At 47.4% G+C, this 23,343-nt stretch overlaps 1 protein-coding gene across 6 annotated transcripts in view, besides 4 other annotated features; it reads left to right on the forward strand.

Annotated features, from left to right (window-relative positions):
* Positions 1-23,343, forward strand: part of PRKCA (protein kinase C alpha) — a 508,131-nt gene that overhangs the window by 405,394 nt on the left and 79,394 nt on the right. The window lies entirely within an intron of this gene.
* Positions 5,797-5,856: an enhancer, noted in NCBI's record as "active region_12615". NCBI's record gives its function as "activates an Ori minimal core promoter by ATAC-STARR-seq in GM12878 lymphoblastoid cells {active_cell/tissue: GM12878}" and the evidence as "EXISTENCE:reporter gene assay evidence [ECO:0000049][PMID:35858748]".
* Positions 6,487-7,183: an enhancer, noted in NCBI's record as "H3K4me1 hESC enhancer chr17:64710611-64711307 (GRCh37/hg19 assembly coordinates)". NCBI's record gives its function as "activates a minimal SCP1, AML or CMV promoter by ChIP-STARR-seq in naive H9 embryonic stem cells {active_cell/tissue: H9 hESC(naive)}" and the evidence as "EXISTENCE:reporter gene assay evidence [ECO:0000049][PMID:30033119]".
* Positions 14,230-14,731: an enhancer, noted in NCBI's record as "NANOG hESC enhancer chr17:64718354-64718855 (GRCh37/hg19 assembly coordinates)". NCBI's record gives its function as "activates a minimal SCP1, AML or CMV promoter by ChIP-STARR-seq in primed H9 embryonic stem cells {active_cell/tissue: H9 hESC(primed)}" and the evidence as "EXISTENCE:reporter gene assay evidence [ECO:0000049][PMID:30033119]".
* Positions 22,335-23,020: an enhancer, noted in NCBI's record as "OCT4-NANOG-H3K27ac-H3K4me1 hESC enhancer chr17:64726459-64727144 (GRCh37/hg19 assembly coordinates)". NCBI's record gives its function as "activates a minimal SCP1, AML or CMV promoter by ChIP-STARR-seq in primed H9 embryonic stem cells {active_cell/tissue: H9 hESC(primed)}" and the evidence as "EXISTENCE:reporter gene assay evidence [ECO:0000049][PMID:30033119]".

Here is a 23,343-nt window from a genome sequence, read left to right on the forward strand (position 1 = left end):
GGGGTCCAGGAACGTGTGGCCAAGGTGCTCATGGTGTTGTATTTTGGTTTTAGTTTGTTTTCAGGGATGAGGCCTCTTTGCCCATTAGGACTGTCGCCATGATGTACACATGATGGTGGCACTTCCCAGTTCATCAGGCCGACCAAGTGGGGCCATAGATGTCCTTGTTCAGGAATTCAGGGAACTCGGTGGCTGTCGTGTCTTCAGCACTTAATTGAAAACGAAGTGGTTAACATTTGGCACTAGTGCAGCTTCCTGCCATTTGCCACTTTCACCTTGAGCAGAGGTGTTTTGCTTCCTCATCTCCCTTCCCAGCATCCAGGTGTGTGGTCCGGGAAGGATTCCCTGGGACCTCTTGCAGATGTGTAGAGCAAGAGGTGCTGTGCGTATCTGGGCTGGGTCACTTCAGCCTTTCCTTTGATTTTTTTTTCCCAGAGAAGATTTGGGATGGTTTGTCATGTCCAAGTGTGAAACAGCCTTAGAGTTCTTTCTAGGTCCATTTGAGTCTAAGAATAACTACCCAGTGGCTGCCGGAAGGCTGTGAAGCCACATAGCAATTGTATCAAGGTGTCTCTGCTAAATGTTTTTTGTCTCCCTGTAGAAAGAAGCAGGTGACCTATTGCAGATGGCAGTTGGAGATAGGAACCTCCTAAAGTCATGCCATATACTTCTCAGGGCATCCCAGCTACTCAATACAGAGTACCCTATGCCTATAGATATCCAAGCAAAGATCAGGCAACCCTCTGAGAAAGATGTAGGAGAAATGCCTGATTAAATTTCCTCTAAGGCTCTGTCCAATACCAAGATTGCAATAAGGGTGTTTTTGTTGCTATTGTTAGTTCCCTTTAATCTTGATGTGGATTAAGATCGCTATCCTAAAATAGAGTTTTTGGGGTTGGAACAAAATGGCCTATTTTAGGAACAATCATAAATGGATTTGTGATTACTGACTTTTAAAGGCCCATAATGATAAATTGGAATAGAAGATAACCCATACCTGGTAAAAGAGATGCAAAACTCATGATTTGACTAGTTTCTCATTTTAGTAGACAAAGCCTTACTGAGCACGTAGGATTGGTTTGCCTCTGATCTCCTCTGTTCAGGTTCAGGGCTGTGATGACCCATTCAGGCTGTGGGATTTTGGTTCAGAAATCTGATCATCTGATCCCTCTCAAATTCTCTCCTGGAAGCCACCTCTCACTGCTTATGAAGTTGGGGGATTACCCCTATGAATCCTTGTAGAGAAGTCTCACCTTCATGAATCCTTGTAGAGAAGTCTCTTTTGAGATGATTTCTTTTTTTTTTTTTTTTTTTTTTTTTTTGAGATAGAGTGTTGCTTTTGTTGCCTAGGCTGGAATGCAGTAACACAGTCTCAGCTCACTGCAACCTCCACTCCCGGGTTCAAGCAATTCTCCTGCCTCAGCCTCCCAAGTAGCTGGGACTACAGGCTTGAGCCACCACACCTGGCTAATTTTGTATTTTAGTAGAGACAAGGTTTCACCATGCTGGCCAGGCTGGTCTTGAATTCCTGACCTCAAGTGATCCACCCACCTCAGCCTCCCAAAGTGCTGGGATTACAGGCATGAGCCACCATGCCCGGCCTCTTCTGAGATGATTTTAACTTATTTTTCTCACATTAGTACTTGAGAAAGGAAAGTTATCCAGTTAAGATAGGTTTTTTTTTTTCCCTTTTTCTTTTTCGGTGGAAGTTGAAAGTAAAAAGAAAAGCAAACCCTGGTTGTGTGGCATTCAGTCAACTGGAGCTTGGTTAACTCACTGCCCACCAGCTTATGTTTCGTCAGTCATCTTGGGCACTTCCAAGATATTGAAGAGCCTTCTGAATCATCAAGAAAAAACAAAATCTTGTTACTAATAGTTTTCATGGTAAGCGGGTTTGGTTTCATCATCATTTATTGAAAAATGGCAATCTGTATATAACATTACTGGGCACCTTGCTATGTGCTACCTCAAACGAGTCGATTCGCCAAATACTCCAGGACCCCGTCATGTGAACTGGCCGATAGCAAAACACATCCCTGAATGTAGTGGAGCTGTTTGATGTGAGACCACTTTCAGACATGGAAATGCCACAAGGAGGAGAGAAGGGTCCTGTCCTCATAAAGCTTGATTCTAGGCCTTTCACTATTCAAACAAGGAAGAGTTACTTCCTACCCCTCCAAGGGTCAAATGAGACCTGCACCTGGGGTGCCTCCGGAGCAGAGTGCACTGGAAGGTTCACCGCACCTTCTCTCCTGACCCTGGTGCTGTGTCTCGGGGTCACCGTCTGTCTGCTGTGCCTGCCTGCATCATAATTGGAACCTGTGCTGTGTTGTACTCAATCTCGTTTTCTCACACCACTAATTGTGTGTAGCACTTCCTGTGTGTAACATTTCTCCTACTAACCTGGCAGTTTTTCTCCTCCTCCTGTCTTTTACAGGGCTGTCATGTCCGCTTCTTAAAGGTAGTTCTTCCTCTGCTCTTTCCTCATCCACTTTCCTTCCACAAAACACTTGCCTTGGTTTTTGTGGCTCCCGGGCCTCAGCCTGCAGCCATGCTCTCCACCCTTAAGGATGCACCGCGTGTTCTGGTAGCTTGAATCTCACACCTACTTGTGTCTTAGTCTGTGTGCTCCCTTCCAAGCAGCCACGGCCCTCCCATGAAAAAAAATGCCATGTCTTAATCACCCAGAGAATAGACCAGTCTCCCCTCCTCTTCAGATTAGGTTAGTTTAAAATTTTACCTGCTGGGCACGGTGGCTCACACCTGTAATCCCAGCACTTTGGGAGGCCGAGGCAGGTGGATCACCCGAGGTCAGGAGTTCAAGACCAGCCTGCCCAACATGGTGAAACCCCGTCTCTACCAAAAAACAAAAAAAAAAATACAAAAATTAGCCAGTCATGATGGCAGGTGCCCGTAATCCCAGCTACTCGGGAGGCTGAGGTAGGAGAATCACTTGAACCCGGGAGGCGGAGGTTGCAGTGAGCCGAGATCGCACCATTGCACTCCAGTCTGGGTGACAGAGTAAGACTCCATCTCAAAAATAAATAAATAAAATAAATAAATAAATAAATAAAATTTTACCAAGCAAATATCAAAACCTCCTATCAGTGATTAAAGTTCAAGTCTGTATTGAAAGCATCCATCCAATGAACAGAAAGAGTGCATCTTTAAATGGACAGCTCATTTTCCTTTCTTTCTGTTAATATCTTTCAATCACATATGAGTTAAGATTCATTTTAAGTTTTATAGGCATACATCTGCATTAGCATGCAATCAGTATGGTGTATTTACACTACATGAGTGTGTTCATATGGATGATGTAGTGTAATATATCATAGGCTGAAATCCTGTAATTGTTCTGATGTTCTTAATGCCTGACTTAATCCTTCTCACTCTTATTTCATTTTTTCTCATTTTTTAATGTTTTCCCAACTCAATCGTTGCAATCTAATCAACCATTCTATCCCCAAACTATGGAGGGGAATTTTGCAACTTGCATGTAAATGGTTTTAAAAACCTGGTCTATTATTGTCATTTCTGATAGCGCCACTCTCTTCTGGGAAGCTGGTTAGGGCCACACACCAGCTGTGCTCTCAGCGTATTGCCTGTGTTCGTAATTAAAATCAGCCCAAGATTGTCGCAGTGCTTTTATGTTCGCATTAGATCAAACTGGAAAATTTAAACCCTCAAATGCTCGGGTGGAGGATTTGCAAGGGGAGAAACCCTACTCCCCGACCCCAAGCTGGAATCCACATCTAATGCTCTCTCAAAAACACTGTCCTAAAGACAGCATCTAATAAATAATGTTTTTAGAGTTTCTCATCTCTAGAACTTGTATCTCACCCTGCAGATGTGCCTGTTAGAGGAACCACAGGAGATTTGTGACCTAGAGATACTGGAAATGAGAAAGAAAAAAAATATTCCTTGAGGTTTCCTAAGTCTTGCAGAGTGTGGTAAATACTGTGTGTGAAAACTGCCTTTCAAGGCTTCTGTTGTTACTGCCCCCCCTCCACCCCGCCCTTGTCTGTGTTTGAAAACCCTGTCCCATGATTCAATGCAGGGTGTTGACTTTGGATACACATCTCCAGAGGCTGGCCACACCTGAATACACTGAGCCTCTGTGCAACTTCTTCCTGTGGAGTAAAACCCTCCAGCATTCTCAGAGGAAAGAGGCACCTCTTGATCACTCCAGGAGGTGGAAACAGTTCCTGTTTAAAAACCAAGTAAACCCCTCTCATTGCACCCCCTGCTACTTCAGAGGAACACCTCCATTCTGATGGAAGGAACTCGTACTTGGGTCCTGGAACCCTATTTGGGACCCAAACCTCTCCCACTTGTGTGGCCTGACGTGCCTGAGTGCTGTTTGTGTCCTTTTTATTATGTTGAAAACTTTGTTATTCCAAAGAAACATCTGAATCACAGAGCTTAGTTTCCCAGCATGTCGGAAAGCTGGGTGCTGGTGTAAAAAACTCAGATGTGGCTGAAAAGGGAAGTAATGAGAGGGGAGAAAAATAAGAAGAAAGAGTTAGGGTGAGGCTTTCACCTCCCTGGGTTCTTGCCTGGCTCCTCCTAGCTCTAATGAAGGGCTGTCCCTGTCCCCTTCTCCTTAAAGACTGTCCCTCTTCTCCCACCTGCTGGGCAACGTGGCTGTCACCTCGTCATTCCAAGAAGGCAGCAGGGTGTGGCGAGGAAGTGCCACACTGCCTGGGTTCAAGGGTTCAAATCCCAGCTCCAATATTTCATAGCTGTATAGCCTGGAGCCATGCAGCTCATCTCTCTTGCCTCAGTTTCTCCAAGTCTAAAATGGAAATGGTAAAAGGACCAACCTCCTAGGGATGTTGGGAGGATTAAATGAGTAAGTATGGAAGGTGCCTAGAACAGTGCCTGGCTAGATTTGTGTTTGCTGCAGTCATTACTCAGCCTTTTCTCTGCCTTCCATCCCCAGGAATTATGAATTACAGAGTTTTCCCTAATGGAGGTGTCACTGTGCATTGCTGGTTTCCAAGAAGCCATTGCCAAGTTAAAGTGAACCCTTTGTTGTCCTTTTTTTTTTTTTTTTTTTTGAGATGGAGTCTCACTCTGTTGCCCAGGCTGGAGCGCAATGGTGCAATCTTGGCTCATTGCAACCTCCACCTCCCGGGTTCAAGCAATTCTCCTGCCTCAGTCTACCGAGTAGCTGGGACTACAGGCACGCGCCACCATGCCCGGCCAATTTTTTTACTTTTTGTAAAGAAGGGGTTTCACCATATTCACCAGGCTGGTCTTGAAGTCCTGACCTTGTGATCTGCCTGCCTCGGCCTCCCAAAGTACTGGGATTACAGTCGTGAGCCACCGCATCCGACCTCATTGTGCTTTCTAAACCACTCCCGGGCCCCAGTTGGGAGACCCCGGTTGTACATTAGGTACAAATAACCCATCAGATAGGAATCTGCTCCCCGTACCCCACCCTACTCCCACCTGCAGCAGTGAAGCAAGGCCATCTTGAATTCATTTAAGAACAGAGATGAGAAGTGTCAAGTCAACAAAGTCTCTTTTCTGACATGTTTTGTGTTGGTGCTTATTATGTTTCCTGTGTGGTTTTGTTATGAGGACAAGAAACAGGCTACTCTACCTGAGAAAGAAAATGTCACCCGCATGTTGGAAATTCACCCTGACCCAGGCAGTGATAATAGCGTGCCACCGCTCGCTCACACCTCTCTTCAAAGTGGCTTCCTTGGCTTGGTCATGAGCTAATCTTTACCTTGTGGCTTTTTCTGAAAATAGACTTGTCAACACTCAGTCCGAGTCTGGCCCCCAGTCACTGGTTTTCTCTGTTGACAGGCTGCAAAGAATCATGCAGGAAGGGCTCTGTCCATGAATTCCCAATGGTCATGGGTGGTCAGCCAGCTCAGAGCTGATGGTTTGGGTGGGGGCAGGCAGGACACAGCCATAGTCTCAGCTCTTACTAGGGGTATTCGTTTTGTGACTCACATTCCCCCAGGTGCTCACAGCCTGTAGATACCCTTAGGGTCACAATAATTGTATTAATTTAGACTCCCTGGCTCTCTCCTGGCCCATTGACAAAACCTCTGTTCACTTCCAAAGCCCAGCAGTTGCAGCTGGGAGATCCCAGGAGTATCTCGTGCGGTGGTGAAGTGATCCGATCACACACCTTTCCTCTCCGGTGTGAGGCCCTCTGCTTTGAGGCCACTTGCATCCCAGCCATGTTCCCCCCCACCCGCTGCTTCCTTTGGGGAGAATGCCCCCTTGTGAGTCCACGCCCCCCTCAAGCTGCCAGGCCTCATGCATGGGGCCAGAGAGCTAGGGTGCAAATACCATGTGTAAAGGGAAAAGTGTCCTGACCTCAGCTGCCCTTGTGCCCTCAGGCCTGTGCCCACCGTTGGAGACAGGAAACACCTACCTCCACCTTGCCCTCAGGCAGCCCCTCCTGCTGGAGACCAGCTCCTCAGTCCTGTCCAAGTCCCCTGAGGGCAGCTGGGAAGCCCCTGTCTTTTTAGGAGAGGTCTCACTGTTCCACCCCCTCGTCTCTTCCCCCTTCCTGGAATGGAAATTTGTCTTCTGACGCTGCCACCTGGCAGCAGGCGATGGCTGTGGCGAGACTACTCAGAATGGCAGCAGCCACCAGCCCCGAGCTCTGATCACTCCCTCACCACTGCAGGATGGCGAGGCTCCCAAGCCTGCAGGACGAGAAAGGGAGTGTTGACCCATTTTACAGATGAAGAAACAGGCCTCAGAGAAGTGTGCAGTGCCTTTACTGGTGTCCCAGACCGCTGCTGGCAGACCCCAGATCCCATGCTTGTCACCTTCCTGAGCGCCTAGTGAGCTGCCTGACACAGAGGGCCCAGAGAATAGCCCAGAACAGTGCAGCTGCTGCTAGCCTTGGAAGCAGGTGTCCCATTGAGCTATAATTAGGCCCCTTGGTTTTAAAAACTGGTGTGGATTAAAAAGGCTCAGTGAGGGTAGGATGAAATCAATGATTATGGAAATATTGTGCTAAATTTAATGACAGTCGGCCCTGCTTTCAAATTGCTTGCTCCTGTCAGAGACATTTTATAAAAATTTTCCGTTGAGTAGTTGAGCAGTGTATCCAGCATTTCGGGGATAGGATGTGTTTTGTTTTTTGGTTTTTTTTTTTTTCTCTGTGAGGATGCCCAGTCATCCTGTTTTTCCTTTCTGCAGCAGCTGCACAGCCATGGAGGGAAGGCTCTGGAACCTTCTTCCTTGGGGAACTGGGTTTTATTGCCAGTTATAGCTTGGGTGCGTTTTTTGTTACTGTTTTTTATTGACTTCAGGAGCTGCTGTTCTGTGCTCGCTTAGCTTCAATTGGATTTTCCCAGAAGTGGCTTTTTCATTGAACTCTGCCCTCGTGTAACTGTCGTTACTTCTCACTATTTTCCAGGTCGTTCTTTGTTTCTAAGATAAACACCGTGGCTCCCTCGGACCACTCCAGGGCCCCCTGCAGCCCTCACTGCCTCCCTTCCCCCCAGGCCCTTTCTTGGATCTGTGGCTTGCAGAGTCTGCACCCAGTCAAGGGTTTGGAAAGATTCGGGAGACACAGAAAGGCCTACAACTGTTTGGATCTTTGTTTTCTAGAAATAGAGCACCCAGAGATCTTAAAACCCACTTTTGGCATCTGTAGTTCCGTTGGCACTCTATAGTTCCGTTGGCATTTTGCAAAGTCCTGGCACTTACGTGAGTGATTCAGGTCATCTACTATAAAGGATACAGTTTTTTTTTTGCATCTGCGTAGATACAATTTTGTGTCTTGTTTGTGCCATCTTGCCCCATTTACTGGGACTTCACCTCGGTAAGGCAGACTAGTGAATCTTAGGTGGATCTCTGCTAAAAGATCCCAGCCAAACTGCAGTTGCTTCAGAAACTGAATACCACAAGAGGGCAGTAAAGATTTGCAAATGAAAGATTCCATGACACCTGCACACAACAAACAGCAATCAACTGTTGCCTGGATGTCTTTACATTTTAGTGGACATAGAGATGAGATCACCACCTTGTGCTCCCCATTGCTTCTTGGCTTTAGAGGATCTTCAGTGTGCTGCAAAGAAGTCAAGGGTTTCCCAAGAGCTGGATGGCTCCTTCAGTCTATTCTTGCTTGCACTGGGCCCCAGCCCATTTTCTATCTCCCCGGGTTTTTTTTTTTAGCACCAGAGAATTACCCACTTCGAAGCCATGTTGCTGACAGTCTGAAAAACTATTTACTTTGATGATGTTTCTGAGTTCATGTGATTCTTGACCCTGCCACAGCCAACCCATAAAGCCAGTGTGGTGGTAATTCCAAAGGGGAGCATTCGAGCAGGAAAAGGAATAGGTTTCCAAAAATGATTAAGTGCCCAAAGTTCTCGAACAATGCTATGTCATGGCTGTTGCAGTGCGCACTGGGCCTTCCTCTAAGCCGGGCATCAGACGCAAGTGTGCCATCAGCTAGCTCCCTGGTGGGAGAAAAACATTGTTGCAGATGGAAAAACTTAAGGTCATTGGTGGGGAATCCTCATGTAAGCCTGGAGATTTAGCAATTGGGGAGAACGCGGTACAAGGGCAAACCGCCTTTCCAGGAGGTGTTTAGCAGGTGAGACAAGGCGTGCACCACCAAGATTAGCGATCCTAACAGATGTGTCAATTATCAACAGACAAATCTGGGAAACAGGGAAAAATTTGGTTGGCTGCAAAGAAAATCACACACCGGGATACTAGAGGTGAATATTATGTGGTATGAAAAGAACCAAGCACTTCGCAGTTTCCACATCTGGCAAAGTGCCAACACGTCAGGGTCCCACGTTTCTCCTTGGAGAATGGCTCAGTTGCCATGACAACGGAGGCCCTCTCGCTGCCTGTGAATTTATTTTAACCGTGGCAACAGCCAAAGTGGGTGTGTCCATGAAAATATTTCTTGTTAAGAAAACGATTGAATGTGTTGCCCTTACATTTTGCTCTGCTGAATACATACTTCATTCACCACCATTGTATGGCTGCAAAATTTCCTTTTCCTGTGCTGCCTGGCATAGCAAGCATTGTGGAAGAGCCTGAATAGTGATTTAATTCTAGTGCTCTTGAGATTCTTAATTGTCGCTGTTGTGATAGATTAAGAAGATACAGACATTGTACTGAAATCTAACTGCAAATGAGGATGAGTGATTTGAGAACCTGCGTGATACAGGGCAAGGGTCATCGAACTGCAATCCACAGCCCAGACCCCAGCGGCTGCCTGTCTTCACCATTAAGGCTTTATTGGAACACCTTCCCTCCTTTACTCACTTTTGCAGCTTTCGAGCTACAATGGCAGAGTTGGAGAGTTACAACAGAGACAGTATTTGGCCCACAAAGCCACAAATATTTACTATCTGGACCTTTACAGAAAAAGTTTGCTCACCCTCGATGTAGGAGGAAGAGCACTAGGTTCAAAGGCTGGAGTTCTGGATTCAGAGCTCAGGATGGAAAACTGATTTAGACATATCGCGGTGCCCCCTGGGCTCATTCTCCTCATCTGTAACATGGGCAGCCTTGATGAGACTATCCCCAAGTTGCTTTTGAATTCTAAAAGCTCTGTCATCCTCCTGCTGTTAGTCAAAGATTACAGCCCAGATGGGGCAACCTTAGCACAGGGAAACGTACGGGATGATCCAGCATCTAGTTTCAGGGCCTCTGTAGAGAACAGAGCGTCCTTCTCTTCCTCCACCAGCACTGCCACGAAGCGGCGCAGAGGCTGTGGTGAAGTTAGCTCTCTAGACCTCAGCATCTTCATCTGCATCCTAGGCAGGTCAGACTCCCCAGGGACCCTTCTGTGGCTGACAGTCTGTGGTTCTGAGGCCCTCGCTGCAGTTGCCAGCAGGAGAAAGAATGACTCATGCCTGTGATTTGCTGGTCACCTGTGATTCCCGCCTCCGGGAGAAAACTCCAAGTAGCAGGTGTTGACCCAGTTGTGTGGGAGGAATCACCCAGGCCCTTATTTCCAGGTTGCACTTACAGATCGGATTGTGCAACCAGAAAAATGCCGTCAGAAGGAAGTGGGGTGGCTTGGGGGACTGACTTACTAAGGATCACTGTTAAGCTCTCCATACAAATTAGCTCCCCTTCTGTCTTAGTCCACTCGGGCTGCTATAGCAAAATACCATAAACTGCATGGCTTACAAACTGCATATGTTTCTCTCTCTTAGTTCTGAATGCTGGGAAGTCTAAAATCAAGGCAGGTGAGGTGTCTGGTGAAGGCTCACTTTCTGATTCACAGATGGCATCTTCTGGCTTTGCCCACACATGGTAGATGGGATGAGGAGCCTCTCAGGCCTCTTTTTATTAAAGTTTTTATTATTTAGAGACAGGGTCTCATTCTGATGCCCAGGCGGGAGTGCAGTGGCACAATCACTGTTCACTGCATCCTCGAATTCCTGGGCTCAAGCAATCCTCCTGCTTCAGCCTCCCGAGTAGCTAGGACTACAGGTGCACGCCACTGTGCCTGGCTAATTTTTAAAATTATTTTTTGTAGAGATGGGGGTCTCACTGTGTTGACTAGGCTGTTCTCAAACTCCCAGCCTCAAGCTATCTTTCTGCCTCAGCCTTTCAAAAATGCTGGGATTAGAGGCATCAGCCTGGGATCACACCCAGCTTCCAAGGCCTCTTTTATAAGGGCACTAATCCCATTCGTGAGGGATCCACCCTCATGACCTAGTCACCTTCCAAAGGCCCTGCCTCCTGACACCATCATCTTGGGGCTAAGGATTTCAACATGTGAATTTGAGGGAGACACATTCAAACCATAGCACCTTCCAAGACCACTTTCTGTGTTGTGGAAGAAAAGATGTGTTTTTGTTTTGACATCTGAACATAAAACACATATACACAGCCACATGTGAGAAAGAAGTACAGTTAAAAATTCCAACTGTGAATTTAGACACACAACCCAAAAGAAACCAAGAGCCTGCCTTCAGGAATTAGGCTGCCTTGACTCTGGGCTTCTTCCTCTTCTCTTTGACTATTCATGGTGAGATTAAAATGTCTGTCCTTGTGCAGCTGGGCACAAGGGTACTTGTTTGTGACCTCCCCAAAAAGGTCACAAACAAGTAATTAATGTTTCATTCATCCAGGAATCTATCCTGGGGACTTCAAGGATGCACACATATTTAGACCACAAAATTGTTCATCTGCATGTCATTGAAAACAGAACTAGGAAAAACCTAGGTGTCTAACAATAAGGAATGGTTACATCAGCTACAGTAGAGCCGTGTAGTAGGATATGATGCAGTCACTCAAATCATGTGGCAGAAGAGTGCTTATAACCAGAAGTTCACAATAAGCAAAGGGGAGAAGCAGGTTACAAACAATCTGATTCTATCTGTATCACATAGGAAATCATGAAAAGAAAGGATTAGGAAAATGTCCACCAGAATGTTATTAATGATTACCTCTGGGTAATAAAATTATAAGATTTTAGTATATATGCTGCCAAAATGAGTATAAAATTTTAGATGTTTTAGGCCAGCCGTGGTGGCTCACATCTGCAATCCCAGCACTTTGGCCGAGGTGGGTGGATCACTTGAGGTCAGGACCTCGAGACCAGCCTGGCCAACATGGTGAAACCCCGTCTCTACTAAAAATACAAAAATTAGCCAGGCATGGTGACATGTTCCTGTAATCCCAGCTACTCAGGAGGCTGAGGTGCGAGAATCGCTTGAACCCAGGAGGCAGAGGTTGCAGCAAGCCAAGATCACACCGCTGCACTCCTGTCTGGAAGATAGAGCGAGACTCCGTCTCAAAAATAAATAAAAATAAAATTATAGATGTTTTAAATTTTGTTCTCTTTTTTCTGATGTATCCATGCCTGTTAGATTTTCTAAAATGAGCAGGTATACTTTTACAACAAGAGGCAGCCTTGCTGTAGAAATTATTTTAAAGCAACATTTCTGCCTCTTAAAAATGTTATATGAAAAGCTGCCTTCCCCATATACTCTACTCATTGCTTCTGCAAATATTTGAGGACCACCATGCCCCAAACACCATCCTAGGCACTGGAGCTGTGCCGGGGAACAAAACAGACGAGCCGTGCGTGCTCATCCCAGTGGCCGAAGAAAGTAACAAACAAGTAGAGAAATACAGGATTGGTAATGAGAAGAGAGGGAGGGAGTATGCACCACAGAAACCGGTGCAGGGACAATGTCAGAAGGAGTAGGGAGCCTCGGGGCTAAAGCATCCTTTGAGCAGAGATAGAAGGGAGTCCCGTGCCTATCTGGGTCAGAGGAAGTGCCCAACTGCAAAGGCCCTCAGGCGGCAGCGTGCTTGGCGTGTCCCAGCAGATGAAGTATTGAGCCAGAGAACAGCGGACATTTTATTTACTCTAACTGTGCTACCCAGGAGGCTGTCATGCCCATTAAGTAGCATCATTTTAACCTGTTGCCCCGTTACCGAGTAGAAGATAATAGATATCATGACTTGGAGCTTATTAGAAATACACAGGCCATATTCCACTAACGATACCGTGAAAACCCTCAGTTCCTTTGTGGCTTTCTGCTTCGAAACACTTGATCTCTCTTAACTAACGTTGCAGTGGGTGCAGGTAAAGGCATTACCTTAGAGGTATGATGCTGTGCTGGGCATCCTTGGTTATATATGGCATGGCTATTTCTGTTAACCATGCCCTGTTACATGGAATAGCAATGAATCACCATCAGTGTTGTTTTGCCAGTGTTGTTCAGATTAGCTGTGAATACAGAGGACTTTCATCGTTGTACAAAAAATGGTAGGAGAAATCCACAATTATTCATTTGTTCCTATGGTTGGTCATCGTTGGCCTGTCCGTGGAATCTTAGAAGTAGAAAGAAGCTTCTGTTGTCATCTCTCCACACGTTGCAACTGTCTTTGATAAGTATATTACTCAAAGCCTTATTTTCGAGAATGCTAAGAGATCATGTATTTTTGAAGACATATTTACAAAATAGGTGAGAATGAACACATTTAAAGTGGAATGTAGTTACGTTACTGGAAAGAAGTCCCAATCCAGACCCCAAGAGAGAGTTCTTGAATTTCATGGAAGAAAGAATTTGGGGCAAGTCCACAGAGTAAAGTGAAAGCAAGTTTACTAAGAAAGTAAAGGAATAAAAGAATGGGCCGGGTGCAGTGGCTCACACCTGTAATCCCAGCACTTTGGGAGGCCGAGGCGGGCGGATCATGAGGTCAGGAGATCGAGACCATCCTGGCTAACATGGTGAAACCCCGTCTCTACTAAAAATACAAAAAAATTAGCCAGGCATGGTGGTGGGCACCTGTAGTCCCAGCTACTCAGGAGGCTGAGGCAGGAGAATGGCGTGTATCCGGAGGTGGAGCTTGCAGTGAGCCGAGATCGGGCCACTGCACTCCAGCCTGGGCAACAGAGCAAGATTCCGTCTCAAAAAAAAAAAAAAAAAAGAATGGCTACTCCATAGGCAGAGCAACCCCCAAGAGCTGCTGGTTGGCTATTTTTATGGTTATTTCTTGATCATATGCTTTAAAAGGTGTGGATTATTCATGAGTTTTCTGGGAAAGGGGCAGGCAATTCCCAGCACTGAGGGGTCCTTCCCTTTTTAGACCATACGGGGTAACCACTGGATGTTACCATGGCATTTATAGACCATCATGGCACTAGTGGGAGTGTCTTTTAGCATGCTAATGTATTATAATTAGCATATAATGAGCAGCAAGGAAGCCAGAGGGTCGCTTTCCTCGCCATCTTGATTTTGGCAGGTTTTGGCTGGCTTCATTACTGCATCCTGTTTTATCATGAGGGTCTTTATGGTCTGTACCTTCTGAGAACAGTCCTGCTGACCTCTTGTTTTATCCTGTAACTAAGAATGCCTGACCTCCCAGGAGTGCAAATGCAGCCCAACAGGTCTCAGCCTCATTTTACCCAGCTGCTATTCAAGATGGAGTTGCTCTGGTTTGAACACCTCTCACAATTAGACATTAAACAGTACTTCAGAGGCTGCCCAGGAGTTCTATGATGATGAGATGGACCCACCGGGAGCCCTGGAGTAATGGTTCAGTTTCTGATTCTTAACTGTAGATGAATCTTTGGACCTGTATTCATACTGGAGATAAATCAGCACCCCTTGTAAGAATTTCTGGACAGAGGGCTATTGTATTAGAGGTCAGAAATTTCTATTTTTATGGTCTGTCTGATTTTCCATATAGTGTATATTCATTATATAAAATTCAAACATAGCAGAGTGTCTATGGTATTAAGTTAAACCCTTTGAAATTGCTGTTAAGGTGGGTTAGACTGTCACACTGTCACAGCTTAGCAGCTGCAAACTTTTAACCTATTAGAAAATGAACGTCTCCAGCCATCCAGCCCCTCATAGATATACAATGTAAGTCATTTGTCACAACCACCCTCAATTTTAATTTGAAAAAACCCCTAATAGGGAGCTGAATGTGGAGAGCTTCTCACATTACACATGGATAGCTTCAGACACAGATGTTTTTACACATGTACCATAACCCCCATGTAGGCGAATTTGGGTTTGCAATATTCAGATTCATTTTGTATGATTTGCTTTACAGAATGCCACTGCAGGAGCTCTTTGAATTGTTAATAGCTTCAGTGATTGCAAACTATTGTGACTTTTCAAGAATGTATCTGTGGTATAAAGTGAGACGTGTCAGTCATCAGTAAATTTTCAAATGAGGAGGGAACACTGCCTGGTCTCACAGCCTGGTCTTCCAAGTGGCATCACAATGCCAAACTTGAACCAAACGTGAATATGCCATTTTTTGAGGAACCTAAAAATCCTGGATTCTGGGTTGTTGAATCATAGCCAATAAACTGTGAGGTACTTTAGTCCCATTTTGAAAAAAAGAGCATGCTACAGCTTCTGCATTTAATGTCACTTCATTCTATTCACAACATTACATATTGTAGTTCCCATTTTTATTTCCTTTTAAAAATTTGTGCCATTTTATTAAGTCAGGGTCTTTTCCTACTGCAGTCTTAACCCAGACCCCTTAGAGGGCTTCAGCAGGCTTTCCGGAAGTCAGGGTGGATAGCTAGAGCCAAGACCCATTGCCTCTCCTGCCCCCCTTAGGAGGGTGTGGGAGCCCACGGGGATGTGCCTCAACCTCACAACAGGTCATGAGCTCCTGCAAAGCCCATTTGTAGCCTCACACATCTCTGCAGGTCACAGGTTTCTGGTCTGTGAGTTAGCCCACAGAACTCTAGCCCAGGCAGCATGCAGTTGCTCATTGAATCCCAGAGGCCTTCAGTGTACAGTCACGGAGCAGGTGCATGCCAGAAGCTTGAAGGAAAGTGCAGTCTCCTGCACTTTGTCTCCTTTCTGGGTCAAAGCAAAGAAGACCAGAGTAATGTTGGGTGCGGTGGCTTCTGCCTGTAATCCCAACACTTTGGGAGGCTGAGGCAGGTGGATCACTTGAGGTCAGGAGTTCAAGACCAGCCTGGCCAATGTGGTAAAACCCATCTCTACTAAAAATACAAAAATTAGCCAGGCATGGTGGCATGCACCTGTAATCCCAGCTACTCGGGAGGCTGAGGCAGGAGAATCGCTTGAACCCAGGAGGTGGAGGTTGCAGTGAGCCGAGATCACACCACTACACTCCAGCCTGGTGAACAGAGTGAGACTCCGTCTCAAAAAACAAAAAAAAAAAAAGGAAGATGACGACCAGGGTGGAGGGAATAAAGCATGGGGTGCTACACTAGAGTCCTTTTGCAAAGGATACCTTATTTCACCTTCAGTGCAGTCCAGAGAGAGAGCCCAGCATAGTCCAGGGACACAGTCTTCTTACTACTATATTACAGATAAGGAACCGGGGGCTCAGAGAGGCAGTGTCATTTGTCCAGAGTCACACAGCAAAAATGGGTAAGATTAAGATTTGATCCGAGCTCTTTGGAATCCAAGTTCAGGGCTCTTTCCAGAGTTGCCCACTGGTTTTATATAATAATTGAAGACTGTGGACGGTGGAAAGGGTCTCAGAGACGAGTGAATTTGACAGGGATGTTGGAACTTGGAGAAATGTCCCAACTGTCTTAGATCAGCATTTCTCAACCTTAAATGTGCACAGGACCCACCCAAAGATTTTGTTTAAAATGCATGTTTGGACTTAGTAGATCTGGGATGGGGCCCAAGAGTCTGCATTTCTGCCAAGCCTCTAGCTGATGCTGCTGGTCCTAGGACCAGTGCCCAGCTACTTGGGAAGCTTAGGCAGGAGAATGGTGTGAACCCGGGAGGTGGAGGTTGCAGTGAGCCAAGATCGCGCCACTGTACTCCAGCCTGGGCGACAGAGCGAGACTCCATCTCAAAAAAAAAAAAAGAACTGAACAGACATCATCAGAGCTGAAAGGAGATTCCTCCTGGTGCAGGGGTGGAGGACAGTTTCACAGGAGGATGGCAGCACTGAGAGCCATGGGGGTCTCCAGCCTGTGGACTGCTGCTCAGAGCCTGGTCCCCCACCGCTTTCTTTACCTAACTTGGAAATGAGTGAGATGGACTCAAGATTTGGGACACATCAGCAGGAGCGTTTCTAATGAGTTAATATCTGCTTGAGGTCAGCAGCCCAGTGCATGCTCTGCTCTGAGCATTCATTCATCTTCAGGGGACATTCTGTGTTTCTGCATTTCATCCTCTGCATTCAGAATTTTCCATTTGCTCAGGCCCCCAGCAGGGCGTCTGGCCACGTTGGGCCGTGTTTGTATTGCTGGAGTAAAGGATGCCAGCACACTTACTCTTCTGCTTCCTCAGGTTTTCTGAAATCTCTGCAGTTAGGCTGTTAGCTTCAGCTTTATCCCTAGACGTATATTGATTTTATTTGCACTCCTGGTGAAGTCTGAATTATAGTCATGACAACTAGAGTTATGTCAACAATATGCAAGCCAGGAAGGGCAGGTCTCTTAATTCTGCTGGGAGGCCAGTTGCCAAACAATACATTAAAAAGCTCAGAGAAAGAAAAATGGTCAGCTCAGGGCTCACTGTTGCTCTTGAGCCAGAGATCCCAGCTGGATCTTGGGCAAGCCAGACTTCTCAGCAGAGGAATAGCCCTTCAGAGAAACCCTTCCAAGGGCATGGTTTCAGCTTGCTGGCCTGGCTAACTAGTCTCGTGTGGCCTCTGGGGAGGGTCATCATGTGGCCAACCACCCTAAAGGCAGAGAGCCCTCCCAGCACTTCTCTGTGGCTGTCCCAGCATGAACAGTGATTGCTTGAGAGAAGGAGTTCAGATTATGTATGAAGGTGCAAATGCATGGAGTTCTGGGCTGCTTGTCTGCACCAGCTCACCTGACTATCAGCTGCCTTTTTATGTTAGTTTGTCATCTGGCCAACTAGTGCTGGCTACAAGTTGGCCTCTGTCAGTTCTGTCAGTCTTAGTGCTTAATGAGCACAAATGTGAATGAATGAGAGAGAGAACTCTGAGTTTTGAATGCATGTGCCTGATATAGTGCTTGGTCTCAAGATACAAACTTGAGTAAGACTTGGTCCTTACCTCCTAGGATCTCACAGGCTAGTGAGGAAGACAGATCAATAAATCCAAGAAGAAGAGGCTGGGTGTGGTGGCTCACACCTATAATCCCAGCACTTTGAGAGGCTGAGGTGGGTGGATCACTTGAGCTCAGGCGTTTGAGACCAGCCTGGGCAACATGGTAAAACCGCATGTCTACAAAAAAAAAAAAATTAGCTGGGTGTGGTGATGTATGCTTGTAGTCCCAGCTACTCAGGAGGCTGAGATGGGCGGATCACTTGAGGTCAGGAGGTTGAGGTTGCAGTGAACCATGATCATGCCACTGCACTCCAGCCTGGGCGACAGAGTGAGACCCTGTCTAGAAAAAAAAAAAAAAATTCCAAGAAGGAATGTGTGTTAAGTTCCCCAGAAGCTGACGTAGCCCCATGGTTTTGAGAAGTTCATTCCTGAAGGGATCCCAGGAGACATGGGTGGGGAGTAGAGATGGGAGCCAGGTAAGGGTAGGACCTAGCCAAGGTTGTGTTCTCAAGCTGATGACCACTGTGGGCAGCTGGAGCTCGGTCTTCTTGTGAGCTGGAAGAACATTCTGGAACAGGCTTCCTGTTCCCATAACTCGGGCACCTCGGGCTCCCTCTGCAGGAGTGGTCTGAATGGAACCCTCAGGTGTTCGCAGGTGTGCAGGACAGAAAGCTCAGGTGTTTGCAGGTGTGCAGGACAGAAAGCTCAGGTGTTCGCAGGTGTGCAGGACAGAAAGCTCAGGTGTTCGCAGGTGTGCAGGACAGAAAGCGCAGGTGTTCGCAGGTGTGCAGGACAGAAAGCTCAGGTGTTCGCAGGTGTGCAGGACAGAAAGCTCAGGGGATACGGGTGGGGCCCTGTCTGCTGCAGGTTGGAAATTCCAGAGAAACCAAAAGGAGGCACTTGAGTTGGACTTTGAAGGTGAACAGAACAGCAAGACCCCTGCCCTCCCAGACTTGCAGTCAGGTGGCAACGGTTTCCGGGAAGAAAGCTAACTGGGAGAAGGAAGGAGTGTTGGGGTTTCAGGAAGACCACTGTGGAGGATGACTGTGAACAGCAGAAGAGGGAAGGGCGGAGCTGGCGTCCCAAGGCAGGAGACAGGTGGGAGCTTGCGGCAGGCTGGCATGGCTGGGACCGAGGCGGAGGGAGTGGTGGGAAATAAGCCGAGAGACAGAGCAGAGCGAGTGTCCTCCTCAGCCATCAAAGCACTCAGCCTTCTCTCTGTCGTGTGGGAAGCCGGTGAATCCAGGACAGGACCACTGTCTTTTTTTTTTTTTTCGAGACAGGGTCTCACTCTATCACCCAGGCCAGAGGGCAGTGGCACGATCTTGGCTCACTGCAACCTTCGCCTCCTGGGTTTAAGCGATTCTCCCACCTCAGCCTCCCAAGTAGCTGGGACTACAGGCGCCCACCACCACGTTGGCTAATTTTTGTATTTTTTGGTAGAGACGGGGTTTCACCATGTTGGCAGGCTGGTCTTGAACTGCTGACCTCAGGTGATCCTCCTGCCTTGGTGTCCCAAAGTGCTGGGATTACAGGCTTGAGCCACCGTGCCTGGCTTCTGCTGTCATTTTAGCAGTAGCCCGCCAGCGAGAGCAACGGGACATCTTTGGGGAGGGGTTTTGCTGCCCGTGGGCTAGGGGAGGTCCCCAAACGCTGGTGGGACCTCGACCTCAGCTGGTGTCCAGGCTCTTGATACTGCCACGGGAAGGAATTCAAGGATGAGTCAGAAAATAGTGAAAAATATGGAGATTTATTGCAAAGTGACCAGTACACACTTGAGAAAGGGAAAGGCAGGCATACTCCAGAGAGAGTGGCGTGCAAGGGGGTTTGGGGCCTGCTACCTTTATGGGCTTCTTTAAGGGGTGGGATATTCCTGAAGATTCCCAGAAAAAGGTGGAGATTTCTCAGAAATGTGGTGCCACCTGTTTTTACACTAAATATTGGTGTTCCTGGAACGGCCGTGGCACTGGTGGGTAGAGGATTGAGGATGTTAATGAGTGGACAGTGAGGTCCCAGGTGAAACTGGGTCAAATCCAGCACCATGTTGGGTCCAGTTGGTCTTAGCCAGCTTGGCCCACATCCTGATGTTTAGGGTCTTGTGGGCCCCTAGCTTATGCAGTTATTTCAACATTTTTTTTTCTTTTTTGCTAGTCCCGTGAAACTGCTGCCTGGAATTTTCTGTTCTCCTGCTACCACCTTGTATTATTCCTGTTTGAGTTTTCTTGAAGAAATAGCAGTTGAGCTGGGACCTGAAGAAGTGGGAGAGGTCAGCCAGGCTAGGGATGGGGGAGAAACGGCAGGCCAGGGAAGGCTGGGTCTTCAGGAAGACAGAGGAGGTGCTGGCCAAAGGTCTGGAGGTCAAGCCTCGCGCTGCATCTGATCTTGCCCTGGCGCCCTGCCCACCTGGAAGTCCTATATGGTTCCTCGTCCCCCTGCCCTCAGGCATCCCCCACCCCCAGTGATGTAGCTGCTCGGATATCCACTGGCTGTCTCCCTCAACCCCAGCATTGATTAGACCCAGACTGAAAGTGGGACTTGCTCAAAGCCGGCCCAGACCCCTGAGGTTGCCGTACCGTGGAGTTTCCTACCATAACAGAGCTGCTTTCAAAAACTCAGCATTGGATGGCTCTGTGTCCTTTGGCAGCAAGGCCTGCAGGTGGCAGCGTGGAGATGGCTCAGGGAGTGTGTTCTGTAGTGGAAACAGAAGTGCTGCTCTTGATTGGGGGAGCAAGGGCGTGAAGATGCTGGGTCTGCTCTGATCTCAGGGCTGGCTTGGGCTGGGGAGAAATCTATTCTGACCCTCTGGGCCAGGCCACTGAGAAGCTACCTCTCTGATATGGACGTGGTCAGCCTGCCCTGGACCCCACACACCGGTCTGTCTCCTTCCCAAACAGCTGCCTGTTCTACCAGCCTCCAGAAACTCAGCTCTGCTTCCGGCTGAAAAGAATCTGCCCAGGCAGAGCAGGAAGCGTGTGGCGTCCTCTGCCCAGCTCCACCTTGTGCGAGCAGGTGTCTCCTTTGTGGATATTGCTCTCAAACCTGGTGATTGATTTGAGACCTGAGGCCAAGGTCATATTGCAAATAAGTTCAGAAGTACTTGAATGTAAAAATGCTTCTGTCAGCCTTTAGCCTGACTGTGAGCAGTGTCTCATGCTTATAACCAGACTAATATGATAACATGAAACTCACAAGGCCGTCGTTAGGTTATGTCTGCAGTTGAGGCGGTAGATGGCAAAGTGTGTAAAAAGGCCCCCTGCCTATCTGGAGGCTCATCACTGCATCAGCCCACATCCCCTGACTGTGGTGGTGACTTGTCAAAGGAGGAAGGCGGAATGACTGTCTGGGAATGTCAGAGGAGTCCAGCATAGCTGGGTAGAACTGCGTGCTACAGTTGGAAACTGGGCATTCGTTGGTAGTATGAACCGCAACTTCACCCAGGTGAAAGTAGTTTTTAACTGTTTCAAGCATCTCAGATCAGCAAGTCAGTTGTGTTTGGGTGTTTTCAGATGTTATTGTGAATCCTGAGAAAATACGATTAATCTGTGCCTCTTTCTGGTAACTTTTTTCTTATTCTAAGTCAGAAGTGCAGAGCAGGGTGGCATAGTCGGTATTCTCATCTCAAATTTGCACTTCCTATGTATTCTTTTAAATTTAGACACAACCAATTGGGTGCGGTGGCTCACACCTGTAATACCAGCACTTTGGGAGGCCGAGGCAGATGGATCAGGAGTTCGAGACCAACCTGGCCAACACAGCGAAACCCCATATCTACTAAAAATAAAAAAAAATTAGCTTGGTTTGGTGGTGTGCACGTGTAATCCCAGCTACTCAGGAGGCTGAGGCAGGAGAATCGCTTGAACCCAGGAGGCAGAGGTTGCAGTGAGCTGGGATCGCACCACTGCACTCCAGCCTGGGTGACAAGAGTGAAACTCTGTCTCAAAAAAATAAAAATTAAAAATTAAATGTAGACACAGCCTAGGAAGTTTCTCAACTTAGAATCATTGCCGGGGCCAGTTTTTAGAGGACTGGGCTGGCCCTGCCGAAGTGGGCAGGCCAGTATGTGTAGCATCACAGTTCATGTTTTATCTTTATGGGCCTTCTACGTTTCCAGTGGCCCCAAATTCACAGGTGTTTCCACTACATGCTGCCAACAAAGGCAGAGCTCAGCCGTGTTTCACACTTTCAGTCTGGAAGCAAAAATATCAGGGCCATCTCTCCCTCATGTTTTAATGTCTCTGGTCAAATGGGGGCACTCAACTCATCAGAGCATGTTCACAAGCCCTGAGACTTGATCCCTGTATGAGCGAGTTATTCTTTTTTTTTTTTTTTTTTTTTCTGAGACAGAGTCTCACTCTATAGCCCAGGCTGGAGTGCAGTGGCACAATCTCACCCACTGCTGCCTCCGCCTCCCCAGTCCCAGTTCAAGCAATTCTCCTGCTTCAGCCTCCTGAGTAGCTGGGATTATAGGCATGTGCCACCATGCCCAGCTAATTTTTGTATTTTTTTAGTAGAAACAGGGTTTCACCATGTTGGCCAGGCTCGTCTTGAATTCCTGACCTGGTGATCCACCCACCTCACCCTCCCAAAGTGCTGGGATTACAGGTGTGAACCACCATGTCTGGCCACAAGCAAGTTATTGTTATCGGAGAAAAGCATCACCCAACAGCACAGCATCTGATAAGCACATTTGGGCTTCAGTTCTGTATTTGTTCAGCCAGAGAGCTGAGTGCATGTCCTGTGCCAAGCACTGTTAGAGTTGGGAATCTAGACACAGCTGGCAGTGTCACAGGGTGAACCCCAAAATTGGGGTTCAGCCTAAGAGGCCACATGGGTTCTTGGCTTTGGGCGGGAGGGAATTCAAGAGCAAACCTACAGAGTAAAGTGAAAGCAAGTTTATTAAGAAAGTAAAGGAATAAGAGGGTGGCTACTCCATAGGCAGAGCAGCCCTGCAGGCTGCTGATTGGCTATTTTGGTGGTTATTTCTTGATCAAATGCTAAACGAGGGGTGGATTATTCATGAGTTTTCTGGGAAAGGGGCAGGGAATTCCTGGAACTGAGGATTCCCCTTTCACACCATGTAGGGTAACTTCCACATATTGCCATGACATTTGTAAACTGTCTTGGTGCTGGCGGGAGTTTCCTATAGCATGCCAATGTATTATAATTAGCATACGATGAGCAGCCAGGAGACCTGAGACTGCTTTCATTGCCTTGTTGATTTTGGCGGGTTTTGGCTGGCTTTGCCACAGACTGTTGTATTAGGGGTTCTTTGTGACCTGTATCTTGTGAAACCAGTCCTGCTGAATTCCTGTATCAGCAGGGGCTCCTCCTGCAAATGCAGAGGCTCCCCAAGAGAGCACAAGGGGGCTCAATCAGTACTTGTGGGATGAAGGCATGGTGGTGCTCCAAGAGGGACGACGGATGATTCCTCGGAAGCCTTCTCTGCTGCTGATCCATAGTAAAGCCCCTTGAGTGCCTTCCTTATCTCCTTCACCATCATCTTGGTAACCACCAAGGTGTTGACTGGAGTGAGTTCCTGGAAAGAGCTCCAGAGCTAAGGTCTGCTGCACTAGGGAGGGAGGTGCACCCTCTCATTAAGAATGGGCAGGCGTGGTGGCTCATGCCTGTAATCCCAGCACTTTGGGAGGCCGAGGTGGGCGGATCACCTGAGGTCAGGAGTTCGAGACCAGGCTGCCCAACATGGCGAAACCCCATCTCTACTAAACATACAAAAAAATTAGCCATGCATGGTGGCGAATCCCAGCTACTCAAGAGGCTGAGGCAGGAGAATCGCTTGAACCTGGGAGGCGGAGGTTGCAGTGAGCTGAGATCGCGCCACTGCACTGCGCTTCAGCCTGGGCAACAAGAGCAAAACTCCGTCTC

Source organism: Homo sapiens, chromosome 17 (genome assembly GCF_000001405.40).
Source record: "Homo sapiens chromosome 17, GRCh38.p14 Primary Assembly".
Lineage (NCBI taxonomy): Eukaryota > Metazoa > Chordata > Mammalia > Primates > Hominidae > Homo > Homo sapiens.